At 52.1% G+C, this 22,371-nt stretch overlaps 1 protein-coding gene across 9 annotated transcripts in view, besides 1 other annotated feature; it reads left to right on the top strand.

Moving 5' to 3' along the window:
* CAMSAP1 (calmodulin regulated spectrin associated protein 1) overlaps positions 1-10,727 on the top strand; it is a 99,060-nt gene extending 88,333 nt beyond the window's left edge. For all 9 annotated transcript variants that reach the window (NM_001437281.1, XM_011518273.3, NM_001437280.1 and 6 more), the window contains 6 exons: positions 68-204; positions 598-806; positions 1,135-1,237; positions 3,209-3,324; positions 3,999-4,117; positions 7,603-10,727. In NM_001437281.1, coding sequence (NP_001424210.1) covers positions 68-204; positions 598-806; positions 1,135-1,237; positions 3,209-3,324; positions 3,999-4,117; positions 7,603-7,905 — 987 coding nt within the window. In that variant the 3' untranslated portion in view covers positions 7,906-10,727. The remainder of the gene's footprint in view (positions 1-67; positions 205-597; positions 807-1,134; positions 1,238-3,208; positions 3,325-3,998; positions 4,118-7,602) is intronic.
* Positions 15,314-15,980: an enhancer, noted in NCBI's record as "H3K4me1 hESC enhancer chr9:138695080-138695746 (GRCh37/hg19 assembly coordinates)". NCBI's record gives its function as "activates a minimal SCP1, AML or CMV promoter by ChIP-STARR-seq in naive H9 embryonic stem cells {active_cell/tissue: H9 hESC(naive)}" and the evidence as "EXISTENCE:reporter gene assay evidence [ECO:0000049][PMID:30033119]".

Genomic DNA, 22,371 nt, shown 5'->3' with positions numbered 1-22,371 from the left:
TCGAGTGCGGCCGTGTCCGGCGTCTGAGGGGGTTCCTGTCATGCTCTGTGTGGCCTCTGTCTTGCAGGATGAACAGAAAGCGGAAGATGAGCTCGCCAAGAAGCGGGCGGCCTTCCTCCTGAAGCAGCAGCGCAAGGCCGAGGAGGCCCGCGTGCGCAAGCAGCAGCTGGAAGCGGAGGTGGAGCTCAAGCGTGACGAAGCCCGGTAAGCGTCCCGCCGGGGGGGAAAGCAGACTGAGCAGGAGCCTGGTGGGTCCCTGGCGGCCCCGGTCCCGTTGCTGGCACTGAGCATGGACCATGGCAATGAGTGCCTGTGACGGTCTTACTCCTCCCATGGACCACCTCCCCGAACTTTCACGGCCCCTGCTGATCTTCAGTGAGGACGTGCGTTGCCGGTGGCCAGGGAGGCTGTGTGGCCTCGGTGGGTCATCTGCAGGACTGCCTTTGCAGCCTCTGTGTCCCGCTTGTGGAGGCTGGCCACTCTTGGTCCCAGCGGCCGGGGAGAACCCGAGAAACGCGCCTGGACAGAGCGCCGCGGCGCAGGCGTCGTGGAAGAAGCCCCGTGACCGAGCAGTGTCTGGGCGTGTGTTTCTCTCAGGCGCAAAGCTGAGGAAGACCGGGTGCGGAAGGAGGAGGAGAAGGCGCGGCGCGAGCTCATCAAGCAGGAGTACCTGCGGAGGAAGCAGCAGCAGATCCTAGAGGAGCAGGGGCTCGGCAAGCCCAAGTCAAAGCCGAAGAAGCCGCGGCCGAAGTCGGTGCACCGGGAAGAGTCGTGCAGCGACTCCGGCACCAAGTGCTCCTCCACCCGTAAGCAGCCCCGGCCCTCACGCGGGCAGCGCTTCCTTCCGCGGGCGGCGGCCTCACGTTCTTCAGCTCATTTCAATTTTGTCATCAAGAGTGGTGTGAGGCGGGAAGGGTGGAGATGATTATCCCCGTTTCATGGATGACAATGTTGAGACCAGATGCTCTGAGATGTGCGGCACATCCAGGCGCAGCCCGGCTCCCCGGGATGGGGTGGGGACGCGGCCTGTGTGGCCGAGCTCTGCAGGGCGAGGTGAGGGGAACAGGTACAGGGGACAGGTACTTGTCTGTCGGAATCCGTTCATGAACCGTCGTCTGTTTCTGTCTCTGGCAGCTGATAACTTGAGCCGGACTCAGTCAGGCTCCAGCCTGTCCTTGGCCTCTGCGGCGACGACAGAACCCGAGAGCGTTCATTCCGGGGGCACACCCTCTCAGCGGTAAGGGGCCTGAGACGGCCGCCGGCACGGGGCTGGAGGACGTTCGGAGGGGCAGGGTGGGACTTCCTGATTAAACACGGTGAGAGAGGCTTTTGTAACTTTAATTTTGATATAATTTCACATTTACAGAATAGTTGCAATCATGTCATCAGGAATACCAGTGCCCTTCACACGGGCTCCCCAGCTGGTTAAACGTGGCAGCCTTCACCTTATCACCCTCCCCTGTCCCCCACCCCACACGTGCACACCTGCTTCTTCATCGTTTTGAGTCCGTTGGAGTCCAAGCGTGGTGGCTCACACCCATGATTCCAGGACTTTGGGAGGCTGAGGCAGGAGGATCACTTGGGCCTTGGAGTTCCAGACCAGCCTGGGCAACAGAGTGAGACCCCCCCATCTCTACAAAAAATACAAAAAAAAGTTAGCTGGGTGTGGGGGCATGCACCTATAGTCCCAGCTACTTGGGAGGCTGAGGTGGTAGTATCGCTTGAGCCCAGGAAGTTGAGGCTGCAGTGAGCTGTGCTCAGGCTACTGCACTCCAGCCTGGGCAACAGAGTGAGACGCTGCCAGAAAACCCCCAAAAGCAAAAATAAACAGAAAAAAACCACTCCGTTGGAGATGTCTGGCCTTTTATGCTTAAATACTTAAGTGTGTATTTCCTAGAACGAGAATGTTTTCTCGTGTTACCAGTTACCAAGGCAGCACTTTCATCCGATTTGCGGTCCCCATTCAGCTGTCCTCAGTTATCCCAAGAGTGTCCCTGACAACTGTGTTGTTTCCGAGTCCAGGATCTGGTTTGGGGCGATGAATGGCCTTGAAATGCCATGTCCCTGTAGTCTCCTTCGATCCAGAGCAGTTCCTTAGCCTTTCTGTGTTTTTCTGGACCTTGACTTTTGGTAACCACAGGTCAGTTATCCTTCTGGCTGCCTCTCAGTATCGGCTTCCTGTGATGAGACTGAGGCCTCGCGCTGCTGATTGAGCAGCCCAGAAGTGAGTGTGCGTCTTTCTCAACGCAGCCTCTCAGGTGGGCCCCGGGACCGCTCCTGTGATGAGAAAGTAACTTCAGGAGAGAGGCTGGGGACTGGTCTGGACCTCACGGAACTGTCCCGCAGGGGCTTTAGTGACCACCATGGAGCTCCTGCTCACCGCTTCCTCCACGCGTGTTGTCAGCTCTCGTGGGAGCAAGGGCTTCCCTTGCCCATGTGTCCCTTTATTTTTATATGCACAGCGTGTGGCTCCTGCTCTGTGTGCACCTGTGGGCCGTGTTTTCTTGTCTCTTCACCCGTCTCATGGCTCCTTGTTGTCTCTGGGCTTTGTGGCAGATCCCTCCGAGGGACTGCAGATTCTGTTTGGGTTTTTGTTCTGGTGGTCAGTTACCCTGGCTGGATTCAGACTCCAGCTCTGTCTGCCTCCCTTGTGAGAGCAGCAGCCGACATCTCTGAGCAGCTGTGTCCAGCCTTTCGGCATCTGTTGTGCTCAGTGGAGACTTCCCTGCAGGGTGGAGCTCAGGCCTTCCAGGGATCAGCGTCACTGGGACCCAAGTTTTCAGACTCGGCCTGCTGTGGCCCCTCCTTCCCTAGGTCTCATCCCTGGCTGGGCAGCAGCACAGGTGGCCCAAACTTCATCCTCTGGCTTCCTGAGCCAGCAGCACTGTGCCCTGTGCTGTGCCTGTGCCCTGCTCACGGGGGCAGTGCCTGGAGCAAGGGCTTCGTGGAGGTGAACCCCTTCGGTGAAGGGCTGACTCCCCTCTGTCTGTCTTCATCACTCCCTAGTGCCTGAAGTGTTTGCTTTTGTATTTTGCTCGGAGTGTCTGTACTGTGTGGGAGTTGTGGCAACTCGAGCCCCCACCGTCACCGAAAGCCTCCTCCCCTGCTGATGTGCTTCCTGTCCTGGTTGCGGGCCAGCCCCTTGCCAGCAGTGGTGAGAGGAAGCCAGCGCTTCACCTGCCTGTCTCTTGTCTGTTTCTGCCTGCAGAGTGGAATCGATGGAAGCCCTGCCCATACTGAGCCGTAACCCAAGCAGGAGCACAGACCGAGACTGGGAGACCGCGTCGGCGGCATCTTCCCTGGCCTCAGTGGCCGAGTACACAGGTGACGGCGTTCGCCCTCCTTAGAGGTCATCGTGGGCATGGCCATACGCCTTTGCGTGGCTCTTTCAATATCTGTTCTCTATTTTGGTCTAAAAAGTATTTTTCTAACAAAGATGTTTGATGTAGTGAAAGAGAGCTAATTTGAGCTCTTTGGTGCTGAAATGGGCATGTGGTTTAGTAGAAGCTCTTAGGCCTGCCTTGCCCTCCTGGTCATCTGCCCTGCTGTCTGCTGTGCAGGGGGCAGCGGACCTGGGGGCAGCAGAGCCCGGGAGTGGTGGAAGTGCTTGGCTCTCACCAGCTGCCCTTGGAGCAGGCGTGGGCTCAGGGCACAGTGAACTGGAGGTGCTGCTGTGGCTGAGGTGTATGTCCCGGGGCCTTTGAACTTTAGACTTTTTACAAGTTATTTACCTGGTTTTGTCTTTTTTTTATAGTTAAGACACTGAATTTAGAAAGGGGATAAATTATTGATTACTTTGTCTTTAGTTGTCTAAAAATTTATAACTTAAAATTCTTTTGAATAAATTTAAGTGGTTTTTACTTCCCATTTTTAAATAATCATAAATATCTGTAATTCAGCCTACCCATTGCTTGCTTCTAAGACATTGCTGGTTTTCTTTTTTGTGTGTGTTCGTGCCTTAAAATAATAATTTTACCAACCCTGGCCTCGTTTCTTAGGTCCCAAGCTCTTTAAGGAGCCCAGTAGTAAATCAAACAAGCCGATTATTCACAATGCCATATCCCATTGCTGCCTGGCTGGAAAAGTGAACGAACCCCACAAGAATTCCATATTGGAGGCAAGTATCATGTTTCAACCTCAGTTTTTATGTGGAATAAAAAGTGTTTATAAATTAAGGGTTCTTTTTAAAAGAAAACACCCCTAATCTTTGATGCATGAGAGTTACTAGGGAGAATGCAGATTTCAAGGAAGAGGCCGTTCCAGGCAGGTGGGAGTGAGGAGTGCCAAGGTCCAGGGGCTGCAGTGAGCCTGTGCTGGAGGAACACCCAGGAGGACGGGGCAGGGTTCAGAGGCTACATCCTCATGTGGTGCCTCTGGGCTGAGGAAAGACATAGTTCTACTCAGTGAGATAGTGGATGCAGGTGTGGGCAGAGGAGAGCCAGGAACCCACCTGCCCTTCCCAGTAGATCAGAGCAGTCAGCAGGGAAGCCAGGGAGGCAGCCTGGAGGTGAATGAGGAACAGGGGCCAGGGCTGGAGCGGTGGGTTGGGGAGGACCGAGGACGGAGGACGGAGTGGTGGGTTGGGGAAGATGGAGTGGGGAGGGAGGGAAGAGGCGCGCACCCGCTGAGCGTGTGGACTCCGGAGCACCCAGTGTGCATGCCCAGGGAGGGGCTTGGAAGCAGGAATCTGAGGGTCCTGCACGGGGTCTAGGCTGGCCCCTGAGGGGCAGGACTGGGATTCCAGGGGAGAGGAGGCAGAGCCACTGGACCCTGCCCCAGATTGAGGCTGGTGTGTGGCCTTAAGTTGCTGGCCTTGGGATACAACGGCTTGTGAATGAGTGAATGAAAATTATGCAACAATCTGTCATCCACCAGAAATTCTGCTTTTTAATAATTAAGACTAACCCCTGGTCCTTAGTTGGTTTAGTTGTAAAAATTAAAGTGACATACGGAATTTCTGACCCACTTTAAAACGGATGTGTTCTTTTCTTGATAGTGAAGATCATCTAGACTAAGAATGGCCCCGACCTAGGCAGGTCTCGTGGCACTGGGGACAGAAGAGGCCATGGTCATGCCCTTCCTGCTTAGATTTCCACACGGAGAGGTGGTTGGCCCCCTGTATCAGTGGCCCCCAGGATCACCCTGCATGCGGAGATGCACTGGAAGGACTCGTGGCCCTCAGTGTGGAGTCGACCCAGGGCTTAGATTTATTCCAGCACTGTGGAGGGAGCCACAGCCACTGGGTGAAGAGGGAGAAGACAGAGGCGGGGCTAGGCCTTGTGCAGCTCCCTCTGCTCTCGTTCTTCCAGCAGTGGATCCACAGCAGCCTGTGGGCCATGGAAAGCCCTTTTGAGACTGGATGCCCTGAGCTCTCCTTGGGGGCTGGTCACAAGGCACACTCCCTGCCCAGTGTGCAGCAGTGTGCCTGACGCCTGGGAGGAAACCAGCGTCAGCGTGCAGACCAGCAGTTCAGGCTCAGGAGGCCCTCCTGTCTTGCCAGTGAGTGACTGGGAGCGAGCTCTGCAGATAGCAAGTTCCCAGGTGCCCACCAAGGGCCGCCCAGCAGGCAGGCCTTTCTAGGACAGCAGCCCTCTCAGCTGTGCCACATAAGCTGTGGGCACCACACGCTTCCTTATCGTGCAGGCAGCAATAAGTAAATAAGATGAACCCCACTCCCCACAGTCCCGCTGTCGCTACAAATTAAATGTTTCTTTCTTTTTGGCATCTAATTCTGTTCATATTTAAACACAGTGAGTAGGGTTGAAATCAGTATTATATAGACAGTTTTGGATTCTTTTAAAAAATACGTATTATTTAAAATAATAAACCCCATTATATGCTGATACATTGCATATTTATGAAAAGTAACTTTTCTAAAGCCAAATAAATAGAAGAGTGGCATTGACATAAGAGGGCTGGCATCTCAGCCGCTCGGGCCCTCCGTCCATTACAACCACACAGCCCAGGGCCTTGGGAAGGTTCTGCCGCACACTTGGGAGAGGCGATGAGGCCTTAGCCTTTCGAGGTCGAGGGCTTGACCCTGAGATTCCTGGGAAGGCCTCAGGATGCCTGGGCCGCATGTGGAGAACTGTGAGGGCAGACCCAGGTGCACTCCCATTCCCAGGCGTGTGGAGGGTTTGTTTTTAAAAGTTACCAAAACACTTGAAGATACGTTTTAAACTTTAAAATACAATCAACAAACGCGGCGACAGGCATCAGCAGTTTGTCATACTTCAGATTCTTCTTTTTTTTTTTTTTGAGATGGAGTCTCACTCTGTCGCCCAGACTGGAGTACAGTGGTGCAATCTCAGCTCACTGCAACCTCCACCCCTCCAGACTCAAGCGATTCTCTGAGTAGCTCGGACTACAGGCATGTGCCACCACGCCTGGCTAATTTTTGTATCCTTAGTAGAGATGGGGTTTCACCATATTGGCCAGGCTGGTCTTGAACTCCTGACCTCAAGTGATTCGCCCACCTCAGCTTCCCAAAGTGTTGGGATTACAGGCGTGAGCCACAGCGCCCGGCCCAAACAGCTTTATGAGATATCATTCACATACCGTAAAATTCACCCTTTTAAGTTATACCATTCAGTGGTTTTTAGTACATTAATAGAGTAGCACAACCATCACCACCGCCTAATTTCAGAGCATTTTCATCCTCATAAAAAGAAACTCCACGCCCGTGAACAGTCACCCCCCTAAGTCTTCCCGCGCCCAAGCTCTTGGCGGTCGCCAGTCTGTCTCCATGGATTTGCCTGTTCTGGGCATTTACATAACTGGCATCATAATTATATGGCCTTTTGGGTCAGGCTTCTTTCACTTAGCGTGATGCTCTGAGGTTTCTCAGTGTAGTGTGTACCGGACCTCCATTCCTTTTTGTAGCTGGGTAATGCTCCATTGCATGCTCCGACCCCATGCTGTTCATCTCGTCATCTGCTGATGCACACTTGGGTTGATTCTTCTTCAAACATTTTTTATTGATAGGGAACAGATGTGCATGCTTTTGGGGGTACATGTGATATTTTCGTTTCTACTTTTTGCCTGTGAAGGGATAGTGCTGTTATTTATATGCAGTGTTTTGTATGGATGCGTGTTTTCATTTCCCTTGAGTACATATGTGAGAGAGGAATTGCTGGGTCCCACGGTAACTGCCTGATGGTTTGGAGAAGAGCCAAGTTGTTTTTCACAGCAGCTGCTGTGCTCTGTATCCTTCTGGCAGTGAAAGAGCCCCATGGCTCGCCAGCACTCGTTACCGCCCTGCTTCTGGGTTCCAGCCGTCCTTGTGGGCATGACGCGACGTCTCTTTCTGACTGGCATTTCTCTGGTGGCTGATGATGAGCATCTTTTCATATGCTTTTCCATTTAATCGTAAAAGCATTCTTTTCCCCCTTGCTTGCTTAGACTTCTTAAGTAAAGTCTCAATGGCATATAATGCTCCCGTACAGGGGTCTGCTGTAATTGTTTACAACAGGCAGGCCGTAGCTGACGGGTGGGAGAGCTTCCCACGGAGCGGTGCTGGTTGAGCCGCTGTGGGAGCCCAACTCGTGGCAATTGGAGTGGCCCTGAAGTGTTTGTCTCTTCCCCTTTTCTCTCTCTGCACAGGAGCTGGAGAAGTGTGATGCCAATCACTACATCATACTGTTTCGTGATGCTGGCTGCCAGTTCAGGGCGCTTTACTGCTACTATCCTGATACTGAGGAAATCTACAAACTCACTGGCACGGGGCCAAAGAACATCACCAAGAAAATGATCGACAAACTGTATAAATACAGCTCAGACCGAAAACAGTTTAACTTGATCCCAGCCAAAACCATGTCTGTCAGTGTGGACGCACTCACAATCCACAACCACCTGTGGCAGCCCAAGCGGCCTGCAGTGCCAAAGAAGGCCCAGACTCGTAAATGACCCCGGTGCAGCTGGCGTCCAAAGGGTGACCCAGACTCGTAAATGATGCCCTTGTGGCTGGCATCCAGAGGGTGCCACGGGGTCCTTATTTATTGTTTTCATCTATTTGGGTACGAAGTGTGCAAAGTCACAGACCTTTTGCAAAGAGGTTTCTAGACAGCAGAAGAAAACCCCTCTCTCAGCGCTCATCTCACGCAGAGGATGCCAGGCAGGGTGAGGATGGGGGAGTAGATGCCGCTTTTGCAGTGGCTCGCACTGCTGTGGCCACTGCTGACCACTGAGGCTCCCAGCGGAGGGTGTTCACAGCCAGGTCCCGGGCCACGGAGCTCCCTTACTTGAAGTTCTCCTTCAGCATAGATTAGACGTGATCCACTTTGCTTTCTTGCTTCTCACCTCGCCCCCTTGCACATTGCCTGACACCCTCATATTGGCCAGCTGTAATCTCGTGACTATGGGACTGAGGCTCAATCTTGGCTTGGGGTGTTTGAATGTCTATAGCAAAGGAATTCATAATGGGAAATCTTTTTCATTTGAGAAATTGTATGATATTTATTGGTTGTGTCTACTGCCAACATTTATATCCAATTCTAAGATTTCTGAAAAAAAATTCTTATCCCTTGCTGCTCAGAAAAAGTTTACGGAAAACACCAGTTCACTAAAAGCACCGAAATCTGCAAAGCCTGTCTTCCGCTAGAACAACGTCTACAAATGTGAAGATGATGACTTCTGGCACGCGGTCATGAGGGTGGGGAATGGCACTAGGAGCTGATGTTTGCCTCATTTAAAGTAGGCAAGCCGAGCCAACTGCAGCCATCATTCATTAAGTTTTGGGTAGTGCTCTAATGGTTTGTTCACTTTAATAAAGACAGATTTTGGTAAAGTAGAATATTTTTCATTCTGAGCATGTTTGTCCCAAAAGGTGATGCACTTAAGCTGACAGTCCCTTCAGTGGTTTTGTTAGGTCACGGCTTGTCCTGTCTGGATTCTGCATCTGGAAGCGCTGCATGCTCTCAGAGGAGCGTGCCGTTTCCCCTGTAGATGGATACTTTTGTTTTGTTGCCTATTTAAAAACAATTAAGTGGTTATTTGCAGTTATTTCAGAACTCCAAGTAAGTGGATGGCTTTGGGTTCTTTCTGCCTTGGTCCCAATGGTGTTGATGCTTCTGTGGAGCGCGGACATTCCCAGGAGCAGGTGCGTGCCAGCCATGGCTGCCAGACACTGCTGCAACTGACCAGCTGCCGGAAGATTCTGGAGCCACTAACATTAGTTTTGCACATATTTTCTTGGGAGTGTTACTTGAATCTATCTCAAACTGCAGAAAAAATCAAAAGATCAATAATTGGGAGAAAAAGAGACAAATTTAACTGTTACATAATTTTAGATAGACAAAAAACATGAGTGAGTCGTGTACATAAGGAGGGAACATGGTACAGAAGGCTAGAAGGAATTATAGGTCTTATTCCCCTTTCCTCAGTCCTTTGAAGAGAAGTACAGTCTCTTGCGATTTTGTATATATCGTGTTCGACACAGCCGCTCTCTGTCCTGTAAATAGGGAACTAAAGGCTGTATGATTTCTCAAGTGCTGAGTTACACAGTCCTGAGTGAGCTTTCTGTTACCATACTTTCACACGTGGGCTTTATTTCTCACTGTATGTTTGATATGATATTACTGTATTTATTTTAAGAAAGCACTAAGATGTAATAAAGTGATGAACTAATTTGCTTTACATTGAATCGTATGTGTGAGGTTGCTGTGGCTCATTTCGCTGACCAGGCGACACCAACTCCTTGCTTTATAGGAGTTTCACATTGTTCTTTACCATGGCCCTATCGAAGTCAGTGGAATTGGATTCTTTTTAATGAAGAGCTAGAAAATATCTGGCATAGAGCTGGAAAATTGCATTCCCATGGGACGTCTGAATCAATTCTGGATTTTCTCCATGGAATGAGTCAGTGTGTGGAACATCCTGAAACTTGTCCTTAAGCGTGTAGTTTTCACTGTTCGTTGCGAGTAAGCACTAATGTGGCATGGACATTCCTGATGTCCCAAGTCCCCAGGCCAGTGTTCGCCTAATGATTGACAGAAGCGTCCCTGCGTTCTTCATGCTTGGACACAGCAACCCTTTTAATTAGTCTTGAAAAGTTTCAGACACAGGATTAATTTTCGTGGTGGTGCTTTTGGGCCTTTCTGGCTTGGGTGGTGGTAAAGTCATGATTTTGCAGTTGATAACACTGACTTATAACTCTGTTTATCAATGTCTCCTATATTCAAAGCCCCTGCAGTGGTATTTGTGTCTCGTTGCAAATTTCTTTCAGCGGAAAGCTTGCACAACTTTCGTTGTGTCTCAGAATTCTAACCTTGTTATTTAAGACAAGCTGCTCTACCCATTTAGGATATAACTTTGTAAAGAAAGTGTAAACCAAATGATTCAATGTATGATGAAGTTTATGTGTAAATCCTTGGTAATGCTAGAATTCTGGGAGCCCAGAAGGGTTGAAAGAGAAATGAAACTTGCGTGAGTCCCATTATTTTACGCATGTATGTGCAGATACGTTCTACCCACACGTGTGCGTGCACATGGCTGTGTGCGTGCACCAAAGATGGACTGCTTTCCATGTGTCCTTTTGACTTTCTGCACGTGTCACTGCGGTGCAGTCTCTTAGCAGACTTCAGGCCCAAACTGTATTCTTCACTCAGGCAAAATTGAAAAGTGGAATAATTCTAAATTACTTCTAGGTTATACTTTTACCTCCCTGAAATTGTAGTTGTCACTTGGAGGGCAAAATATTTATTGAAATAAAATTTTCTGTTAAAAATTCATCACTTGGAGAATGTTTTACAATTGATTGTGATTTATTTTGTGCAATGGGGTTTGACTTGTGAGAATTGCGAACGGGCATCTGTAAAGGAGTTGAGTTTCACCTTTTCTGTGAATGTTTTTGAAAAGGACTGTAGCTGTATCTCTCCATCATTGTTTTGGTCAAGTCTGTCTGTGTTACTGGGAAGCAGACACACCCAGGACTGCATCTCTGACTTTCACACCTGCCTTTTCTTACAGGGCTTGAGTAGGTGCCTTACTGTTTGTCTAGAGTTTTTTATGGCTTTGAAGGTGGAGGTGTATTTTTAAGGGCAGTCCAAGGGATTCGGACGTCACCAGCAGAGCCATGTAGGATATTCTGTCATTCACAGTCTCCATTTGCTTCAGTTTATCACATTTGAAGGCCCAGGCTGTGGGGTTTGTTAGAGGGTTCAGAGAGCAGAACTTGCTCTTGTAAGAAACTTGGGCTCCCGGGGGCATCTCGCCGTACAGATGGCAAGTTCCTCTCCTTCCTCCTCGTGCCGTTTTCCAGGATTATGAACTGGGAAAGTAAATTTCAGCTGTGGAAGTCAGTGCCCTCGTCCGTCCGCCATCTAGAAGAGGAGTGATCTCCACCTGCAAGCTGTTTGCAGATGCCTGGTTTTGTTCTTTCTCCTTTAGAAAGAGCAAGTTAAATTTCCCCAGTTATTTCTCACGTAGCAATACTTTACCAAAGCAACATATGATGGGAATGCATGATAAGGCAAAGAAATAGATGAGCAGACTCCACTCCACATAGTCAAGCCCAGGCACAAAACTTGTGAATGAATTGCTGAATGATTTGTTTCAGGGTAGAATATTTATTTGCAGTGAAAAATTTGGGTTGCTTCTGGTTCAAAAGTGTTAAACCACATTTCCTATACAAATGAAGTTCTACGCTAGTATCGCGATGATGGTCAGCAACTAACCAGCTTGGCCTTGGAGCCACTTCTCAGTAGCTCTCTTTTTTCATCTGGTAAATGATGCTCTCGAACTGCAAACTAAGGTACTTTAGCTCTGGCAGCCTGTGATTGAGGGTGCGGCCTGCCATTCAGATGTGCATAGCATGTTGGCTTCATCTGTGCAGACAGCCTTCAGGAGGAGGAGGATCCTGCTCTGAGTGTGGCTTGCCACAAACGGGGCTTGAGACATGCTGTCGGGGGCACACGGGGATGATGCTTGCGGGATCCATGTTGCTGCCACAGGGCAAGGTCAAGAAAAGCCCACATGGCACCCGGCTTGCTTACTCCCAGTTGGAGGAGATCTCGTGTCCTTTCTCTCTCATTGTGGAAAGAATGATACACATCCTTCTAGTTTCATGCTATCATGAAAAGTAAGTTCTCTTTATAGTTGAAATGATTAATAACACGGTGGTTTAGATGGAGACTCCTGTATGATAGGCGTGCTGGCAGAGGCACCGGCTGTTGGAGTTGGGCCCAGAGGAGCCCAGTGGGTGCTCGCTTTGTGTCTTCCCCGTGCAGCCCCTGGGCCTGCGTCAGTGTGCACTGTGGGGTGCTGACGCTTCGGGATGGGCATTTAAAGTCTTGGGTTTTTTAGGGCCGAGTGTGGTGCCTCATGTCTCTAATCCCAGCACTTTGGGAGGCTGAGGTGGGCAGATTACCTGACAGGTCAGGAGTTTGAGACCAGCCTGGCCAAAATAATGAAACCCCATCTCCGTTAAAAATACAAAAATTAGCCGGGCGTGGTGGCGCGCGCCTGTGGTCCCAGCTACTCAGGAGGCTGGGGCAGGAGAATCACTTGAACCTGGGAGGCGGAGGTTGCAGTGAGCCGAGATCGCGCCACTACACTCCAGCCTGGGTGACAGAGCGAGACTGTCTCAAAAAAAAAAAAAAAATCTTGGGTTTTTTAAAAAGTGATTTTTTTAGTTGAACTGATAAATCTCTCTAATTTCCGTTTTTTCCAGGACACCTTTTTTTATTTCCTTTTATGCCAGGTGGTAAATTTTTGTTTTCATTATAATGCAATCCATATTCTTTTAAAATTTAAAGTAGAACATACTTAGAGAAAAGCAGATCCCGAGCATCCATCTCAATAAACTTTTGACAAAGTGCTTGTTCTGGTTTTAAAATCAGTGGTTCCCAATATTTGTCACCAAAGTTCCCCCCATAATATTTTGCTTCTAAATTATATTTATGGATACATATTTTTGCCCTATTTTAGTAGACATTTAACTACCAGTACAAGTGGGCCAGCTGGACAGTCCCTGTGGCCCGTTAGAGGTGCTGGGAAGGCGGAGTGTTGGGTGTATGGTGGGCACGCGGGTTTCTGTTCCGGTATTGGCATTATTTCTGTGTATGTTTCTCCAAGTCGGACTCTTGTTCAGCTTGCAGGTTGCCGTGTGGTTGCGTGGGTAGTGTTTCCTCATCCCAGGAAGTCAACTTGGTGGGGCACAAGCGTTGTCATTCCTGGGGAAGAGACTCCCGGCTGCTGGCTGGCTGCAGACTCGGTCCTGGAGGCAGACCTGCTGGTTGCCTGGGCATTTGGTGTTTATTTTCCTTGAGGATGACTTTTGCTGTCGTTCTTCCATTACAGTCTTCAAGGGCCAGAGGTGGACAGTGTAGCCCCCAGGTGGCACACAGCCAGGTGAGGGGACGCGGGGACCCATTCGCACCCGCAGGCAGCACAGCAGGGCCTTTTCCTTGGTGGGCTGTGGTTGGCTCTTAGATCGTGTTGGCTGCACCAGGCGGTGTAGGTAAATGCTGGTGAAGCCTCCTGTTGGGGTGAGGTCAGCGACACCGCCCTTGCTCCTTCAATAGAGGAAGCCTGTGTTATGTACCTCAGCGTCCCCTGCGGCCCACAGGATGTGGTGATGTGGTGGCGGTGGCGGTGGAAGGGGAAGGGGAGGGTGCGACCACCCTGAGCTCTGCAGTGCGGGTCAGAGAGCAGCGGTGGGCCAGTGGGCAGAGGCCAGGCCATCTTCCCTGTGGGTGCTGGGTGAGTGCCAGTGGCCGGCACACGGGACAGTCAGTGCGTGGTGAAGATGCTGCCCTGGGCCCGGGTCTTGGTGGAGCGTCTGTGCCTGGAAGCCTCCTTGCTGTAAGAGTGCCACCATGTTCTCAAGGGAAGGGGCAGCGCTTTTCAGGAAGGAATGGTAGCCACGGAGTAGTCAGACAAAATTAGCCTTATAAGAACTGTGGGCCTATCTGTTAGGGAAAGAAAAGAAATGAGATCACCACTTAAAAATGTGTGACTATTTTAGCTACAAATCGGGTTTTTAAACTAAGCTGTAAAACTTCAAGTCATTTGGTGCAAAGGCTGTGTCTGAATGGTGGAGACCATGGGGCTCCCGGCCTGAACCCTGCCTTCCAGGCGCAGCGAGGGCCTGTGGGCTGCAAGTGGCTCGGGAGCGCTCTCTGGAGGGCCCTGGTACACACACCAGGCCAGACATGGGGTGAGGCGGTGGCACCCTGAGCCTTGTGGTTAAGAGTCCCAGCCCTGGGCTGGGCACACTGGAGAGGGCTATTCCAGTCAGCCTCCCACTAACTTCTTCAGGAGGAGGCTTGGGAGGGCTGGGGGGCCCGTGGCAGGCATGGGAGCCGTGTTGAGCGAGGAACAGGGGTCAAGCCCAATGGTAACCACATCGCGAGGACTGTTCTGAGGGTGGCGGGCAGGTACACAGGGCAGAGCCCATGGCGTGCCAGGCTGGCAGTTCCTGTAGAGCAGCCGTGTCACGAACACCGCCTGTGAACACACTCTTGTGTTTGGCACCTCATCCCCCGGGAGCCTGTTGTGGGTGGAGCAGTCTTGTGAGTGTGCAGACTTCGACCTGGTGCTGGGAGGGGGGCGACAGCAGACGATTGGTGGTTAGGCTGAGGGTCACCTCCCCACACTCTGTCTGTTAGAGACAGCACCGGCCACACCCTCCCTGCAGAGCACTTGGGCGAGGTGTGGACCCAGCTGGAAAGTGGGTGGTGGAGGGTCCGTTTATTGTTTTGAAGATGAATCTGCTTTTTTTTTTTCTTTTTGAGATGGACTGTCACTCTGTCGCCTAGGCTGGAGTGCAGTGGTGCGATCTCAGCTCACTACAACCTCTGCCTCCCAGGTTCAAGTGATTCTCCTGCCTCAGCCTCCCTAGTAGCTGGGATTACAGGCACACGCCACCACGCCTGACTAATTTTTGCATTTTTGGTAGAGACAGGGTTTTCACCATGTTGGCCAGGCAGGTCTCAAACTCCTGACCTCAGGTGATACGCCCACCTCGGCCTCCCAAAGTGCTGGGATTACAGGTGTGAGCCACCAAGCCTGGTCTGAATCTTCTTTTTTGTCTGAGAATTCAGAAGCAAATGGGGTTTCCTCCATTTATGGAGAAGCTGCAGGCCTGTCTTCTGTGCTTTCAAATAAAAACTGGTAATGTAGATCTTGTTTTAGAAGCCCCACAGAAGTAGCATTTCAGCCTCGGAGGATTAGGGTACAAAGGAAAGGCCTCATTCTGAAGTGCGAGGCAAGGGGTGAGGAGGGTTTCCCACAAGCCTGGCTGGGGCTGTGGTGGGGGCCGGTGCCCCTCTTCCCGGAACATATCCAGGTGGGTGCCCTGCAGGAAGCTCTGGGCTGCAGTCTCTCCTTTGGAGTTAATTTCCTTGCCCTGCACTGGAAGTGAATTGATTGCATACACAGCCCTTGCTATATATATATGCTTTCCTTGAAAGTATCAGCTGTGCAAAGAGTTCAGAAATGCACAGGAGAGAACAGAACAGAAAACTGCCCACCCTGCCCTGCCCCTTCCCCACAGCACATGGCTGTTGGTATCTCCGGACACTACGCCCACCTCCACACCCTGCACCCCACACCGGAGTCACCGCGTAAGCAGGTGCACCTTGCGCCAGTGCTTACCAGCCCTGCCCGCCTGGAGCTTACAGGCCGGCCAGTGCACAGGCAGATGAGGATAGCAGCATCCACTGACAACTTGGTATTTCACGGAATCTAAGGTGTCCTTCATTTTAAGATACATCATCATTTTGTGCCACCAAGAAATGCTGCCCATCAAACTATGCCACGCTGTTGATGTTAAGATGGTCTGCTTTCAAAGATGTTGAAGTGTGTACGGCACTGATGGGGGTGTATGTCTGGGCCTCAGTGGAGCTCACGGGGGTGGGGCGGCTATTTGAGAAAGTGGCAGGAGGAGAGGAGCTGTCTGCCCAGCTGGGGTGGAGTCGACGGCCTGAGGATGACTCGGGGTCCTCCCCGCATGGCTTATGGAGCAAGCCTGGACGTGCTCGGGTCTCAGCAGGTGGGGGAGTATCTGCCCAGAGCTTGCCCTGTCCCAGGCCCCTCCCGGCACCGCCACTGCGCTGCTAAGCCTGTCTCCAGCCCCAGGCCTGTGTCCTGGGAGCACGGGCCGGGGGCTGGGATGTGCTGGGCCCGTGTGGGATTCTCAGGGCCCCAGGATTGGACTTTTCCTGGACTGGTGGGTGTGATGTGGGTTGTCACTGCTTTCTCTGTTCCTTTCCCGGGCACTAGGGAGGTTGACTTGTGTTTTCAAATGGGGATGGGCCTAACACGCTGCTGCTTCTGGGAGATTTCCGTTCACTTCCCTGGCCCACTTTTAATGAGGTTGTGTTAATTGGGTGGGCTTTTTTCCTGTTGATTCATAGAACTTCTTTGAGTGATCAAGAGGACAGGGCGCCTCTCCTTTTGTGAGCAGCAGACGTGCCAAGCTGGGGCTCCTCTGTGTGGCGTTGGCATTTGAGACACACCACACGCTGCCCAGTGCCTTCGATTGGCATTTTTTTTTTTAAGACAGTCTCACTCTGTCACCCAGGCTGGAGTGCAGTGGCACGATCTCGGCTCACTGCAACCTCCACCTCCCGGGTTCAAGTGCTTCTCCTGCCTCAGCCTCCTGAGTTGCTGGGATTACAGGTGCACGCCACCATGCCCGGCTAATTTTTGTATTTTTAGTAGAGACAGCATTTCACTATGTTGGCCTGGCTGGTCTTGAACTCCTGACCTCGTGATCCACCCACCTCGGCCTCCCAAAGTGCTGGGATTACAGGTGTGAGCCACCGCGCCCAGCCGATTGGCAGTTTCTTGATGGCAACAGAAGTGGAGCCTATTTACATCTTTTTTTGGTCACGGAGTTTCCTCCTGTGAAGTGTCTGTAGAAGCTTTTTGCCTGTTTTTCTCCTGAGTCATCTTTTCCTAATTTATAGAAGATACATTTTTGAAAGACAATATACAGAAGGTATAAATATCTTCCATTCTGTGACTTTTCAATTTTTTTTGTTTGTGGATACACAGAAGTTTTTAAGATTTTGTGGCCAGATTGTCAATGTTATTAGCGTTTCAGAAATCTAAGCCGGGCGTGGTGGCTCACGCCTGTAATCCCAGCACTTTGGGAGGCCGAGGCGGGTGGATCACCTGAGGTCAGGAGTTTGAGACCAGCCTGGCTAACATGGTGAAACCCCCATCTCTACTAAAAATATAAAAACTAGCTGGGCGTGGTGGTGGGCGCCTGTAATCCCAGCTACTCAGGAGGCTGAGGCAGGAGAATTGCTTGAACCCAGGAGACGGAGGTTGCAGTGAGCTGACACAGTGCCACTGCACTCCATCCTCGGTGACAGATTAAGACTCCATCTCAAAACAAAACAAAAAACCAACAAAAAAATAAAAAACTCTTGCCCTGCCATGGAAACTACCTTGTAAACCTTTGACGTTTGTATTTCAGCCTATAACGCACCTGGACTTGGCTCTTACGGCTTGTGAATGAGGTGGAAGTCCGTATCATTTTTTTTTCTATGAGAATCTCTAATGGTCCCAGAGCCACTTCTTGGACACGCCATACTTCCTCTGCTGTTTGGCAGTGCCAGCTTTGCTGTGGTTTTGTTTCAGTACTTCCAGTCCGTTGGTCTCTGGTGAGCAGAGCAGTGCCCACCCTACACCCTCAGAGATGTCCATATTCTGATCTCTGGGTGTTTTGTTAACACAGTGAAGGGGAATCAAGGTTGAAGATGGAATTCGGGTTGCGAATCAGATGATCTTGAGATGGGAGATCAGCATAGACTGTTAGGGGAGCCCCATGTCATCACAAGGGTGTCTCAAGTGTGGGATGGGTGCAGAGGACAGAGCAAGACCGGGCCGACGGAAGAGAGCACAGAGCTGCAGACTGCTGGTTTTGCAGATGGAGGGAGGGGCCGTGAGCCAAGGAATGCAGATGCCCTCTAGAAGCTGGAAAGGCTTCTAGATTCTCTGGAGAGTCTCCAGAAAGCTGGGAGCTCTGCTGATGACCTTGATCTCAACTCAGGTGTTTGTCCGACTTCTGGTCTATGGAGCTGTTAATAAGTTTGTGGTGGTTGAAGTCACTAAGTTTGTTACAGCAGCAACAGGAAGCGAATCCAGTCTAGTTGTCTATTTGTGCAATACACAGGCAGGATCCTGATTCCTGTCGCTTGATAATGAGACTCGCTCTCTGGTAAACCAGCTGCTTCCGCTAAGAGCGTTTTGGATATTTTTGGCCCTTTGCATGTTAGGTTCTACCCAGCCTCCCCTCCCCTCCCCTCCCCTCCCCTCCCCTCCCCTCCCCAACCCCCAGTAATTGAGATTTGGTTTGGGATTGTCTTGAGGTCAGAGAGATTTGACATCTTTATAGTATTGATCCATGAACTTGGTGTGGCTTCATTATTTAACTCTTAAAGCTTGCAAAACATTTGATAATTTTTCTTGTAGAGGTCTAATACTACTTTTTTTTTTTTTTGAGAGGGAGTCTCGCTCTTTCGCCCAGGTTGGAGTGCAGTGGCGTGATCTCGGCTCACTTCAAGCTCCGCCTCCTGGGTTCACACCATTCTCCTGCCTCAGCCTCCCGAGGAGCTGGGACTACAGGCGCCTGCCACCACGCCCGGCTAATATTTTGTATTTTTAGTAGAGACGGGGTTTCACTGTGTTAGCCAGGATGGTCTCCATCTCCTGATCTTGTGATCTGCCCGCCTCGGCCTCCGAAAGTGCTGGGATATACAGGCGTGAGCCACCATACCTGGCCTAATTTCCTTTTCTTGTAAGGACACCAGTCAGATTGGATTAGGGCCCATCCCGGTGACCTCTTTTTAACTTAATTACCTCTTTAAAGGCCCTGTCTCCAAAGACAATCACATTCTGACGTCCTCAGGGAATGGACATCCACCTGTGGGTTTGGGGGACACCGTTCAGCCCATAACAGAGGTCACCAGGGATAGGATGTCCACCTGTGGGTTTGGGGGACACCGTTCAGCCCATGACAGAGGTCGCCAGGGATAGGACGTCCACCTGTGGGTTTGGGGGACACCGTTCAGCCCATGACAGAGGTCGCCAGGGATAGGATGTCCACCTGTGGGTTTGGGGGGCACTGTTGAGGTCACACGTGGGCAGTGCGTCCACTGCTTGAAGAGCTGACATTGCCAAAGGTAGGTGGACCTCTCAGGATTTCTATTTTTTATTATAAAATATTCAACCTGTAATCCCAGCACTTTGAGAGACTGAGGTGGGAGGATTGCTTGAGTCCAGGAATTGGAGACCAGTCTGGGCAACATGGCAAAACCCCATCTCTACCAAAAATACAAAAATTAGCCGGGCTTGGTGATGCTTAACTTGTAGTCCCAGCTACTCGGGAGGCTGAGGTAGGAGGATCATTCAAGCCCAGCAGGTTGGGGCTGTCGTGAGCCGTGAATCCACCACTGCACTACAGTCTGGGCAGCAGAGCTAGACCCTGTCTCAAAAACATAAAAAGTAAAATATTTGAAAGCCATCCAAGGAATAGAGTCGCATATGTTAGTCATGAAGCAAAATAATAAACGTTGCCGGTGACTCTCACTCATCTTAATAATTTTATAACGAGATTTCTAGAGATGGAAGGAGTCGCAAAGGCCAGTGCTCCTGCTTCACTTACCCAGGACTTTGGGCGTCACGTCCCTGGATCTGTGGCACATGGTAAGTCTGTGTTTCTCCTGTGTGGTGAGGCCGCACTGTCCCTAAGTGTGTACCCGGAAGCACCCGTGGAGTAAGGTGCCGTGGGGTGGATGCGCGGCGCTGAGCACACAGCTCTGTGTGTCCGAGCTTTGCAGGCTGGTGGAGGAAGGTCAGGCAGGTGGACTGGGCAGGACCTTTTCCAGACCCAAAGAATTGACCAGGGTTGGCTGGGAGGTGATGAAGAAGTCTTTGCAGAAGCCAAGAAATGTGCGATGCTGAGGAGCTCAGGCTCTTGAGCCTGGAGCTGGTCTGGGCAGGTGATGGTTGTGGAAGGATGCAGGAATGGGAGGTCTCAGAGCTGATGATCAGGGCAGTGGGTGGGCCTTCTGGGCCAAGTGACCAGTGAGTCCTACTGCTCTTGTTCCCCGAGTGCCAGCACCATCACTGGAAGTCTGGGCCAGTGTGGTGGCTAAGTGGCAACATGATGGGCTGAGCGAGACCATGTCAGCTGCCATCCGAGGGAGGTGGCCACGGGCAGGTGGTTCAGGAATCACGGCCAGCGCCTGCTGCTCACTGCTCTCTTATTAGAGTGGTGGCCTTCTTGGGCTGGGAGGTGGTGGTGGGGGATGGGGGACCAGACTTTAAGGAAAAATGGAGGCCACACTGTGAAGGACCCTGGCCACAAGCTGCCATCTGGCCTTTGGGACTTTGTATTTTGAGTAGAATGACCATGCACTCACGTACTCCTCCACTCGCTCATCTGTTCATTCATTTATCCATCTGCTCATTCATTCACTCATTCGTTCTGGAATAGGGCTGGGTGTGCTGTTGGGTGCGGTGCAGGGCTGGAGACAAGGAGGCAAGGGTCCCAGCCAGGGGTGGCTTGCATTAATTCATGGCATCTGGGGGGTGTTGAAGTTCATGGGCAGTAGAGAGATGTGACCGAGGCCGCAGTGCCATGGGGGAGTGGTGGAGAGAGGAGGTGCGGCTCACGACTTAAGGATGGAACATTGGAGGCGAGACACTGGAGCGTGCGGGCCCCCAGGGGACAGGAGGAGGCAGGAGGGTGTCCTCAGGGAGGAGGAGGCACAGCCTCAGAAGAGGTTGAGACCAGGCAGCCTTGTCCACCACCCTGCAGGGCCCGAGCAGGGCGGGTGGAGGGTGGTGAGAGGTGGGAACAATGCATGGTGCCTGGGCAGGTGCGTACCGGAGACTGCAGCGCGGAGCTGGTGTTTTGGTGTGTGGAGCTGCCACCGTGGGCTGCTTCCTCCAGACCTGTCCTGCCTGCCACATGCACTGCTCTACAGGGCTGGTTTGCTGCAGCAAAGAACTCAGGGCCGGGAGCACGGCCAGGGTCAGGCTGTTCCCAGGGCCTTCCAGGGGTGGCCGTGTTTGACACATGCCTGGAAGAATGCCTGGTCCCAAACAGCCATCAGTGCCTTTCATGAGCATCCTGGGTGCCAGGCGCTGTGGCCAAGCCCCCAAGGCCCACCCCAGCATGAACTCACAGCCGCTCTCAGAATTTAGGGCTGCTTCGTCACGCTCAGAATTTAGGGCTGCTTCGTCACGCTGCACCCCAGGATTTTAGACAGTGATAGGGTGGATTTGAAGGTCAGCTCTGGTTACAGAGAACAGGCAAAGGGCCCAAGGCACAGGAAAGGGAGCGTTTCCTGGTGATGCTGGAGAGGGCGGAGGCTGCTTGGGAAGCAGAGGAAAGAGGGCAGAGGCGCCCCCTAGTGCCCGTGTGAGAGACGGCGGGTGGCCTCAGGGTGTGGGTGGGGGACACTGAGGGAGGACATGGGGTCTTGAGGGTGTGACAGATGGATCGGCTTGGACACGTGGAGTCTGAGGTACCCCCAGGACAGCCACTTGGAATGTGGAGTGGGCTGACGAGTTCCCGGACTTGAGTGTGGATGGACTTCTGGGGGAGCTGGTAGACGGGTCAGCACCGGCAAACCTCAGTAGTCTGGGGCTGCGTGAGGACCATCAGGAGGGCCAAGACAGACTCTTCGGAGGGCGGGTGGGGTGAGTGTCCAGTGGAGGTCAAGTGAGGTGAGAACCAGCAGCACCCTTCATGTTCAGTGGCCAGGAGCCAGCCTGACTCAGGGTGTGTTTTGGGGGGCACTGGGGGTGGGGTGAGGAAGAGGACGGCATGGGGGAAGGCTGGAGAAGCTCAGCTGCTCAGAGGGGAACAGAGAAAGAGAGTGAGCTCACGTGTGGAGGTGGTGCCAGAGGGCGGGCTGAGTGAGGGCAGGGGCCCAGGAACAGCTGGATGGGAGCTGGCATCCTGGGAGAGCGCAGAGCTCCGGGGTTGGCGCTGAGGCTCGGCGGTGCTCAGCAGACAGGAGGTCAAGCCACTGTCAGTCCCCTGGAGATCTGGGCTCCTCGGAGGTCAGGAGGGCTCCTGGCTGCTGTCCTCTGGGGCGGGCTGGGAGTCGCAGCAGTAGATCGAATGTGTGAGTTGGGGGCTCCGTGAGACTCTGCCCCGGGTGCCCTGTGGCTCCCCTGCAGCCTGCTTTCGGGAATGCCAGGGCAAGTGGAGCAGCGAGGCTCCGGGCAGGTGCAGGGGCTGGGCCGGCTGCTCTCTGAGCATCCTCTGTCCTCAGTCCTGCCTGACTCTTCTGCTCAAGGAGAAGCCCTTGCCCTGCAGCGGCCGTGCCTCAGTGCCCCTCACAGGTCCTCTGTGCCTTCCATGCATGCAAGGTGGGGCCTCTGGAGCCTGGCCCGCACACACAA

Source organism: Homo sapiens, chromosome 9 (assembly GCF_000001405.40).
Source record: "Homo sapiens chromosome 9, GRCh38.p14 Primary Assembly".
Taxonomy (NCBI): Eukaryota; Metazoa; Chordata; class Mammalia; order Primates; family Hominidae; genus Homo; species Homo sapiens.
Note: the sequence above shows the minus strand (reverse complement) of the source record. Positions and strands in the feature narration are given on the sequence as shown.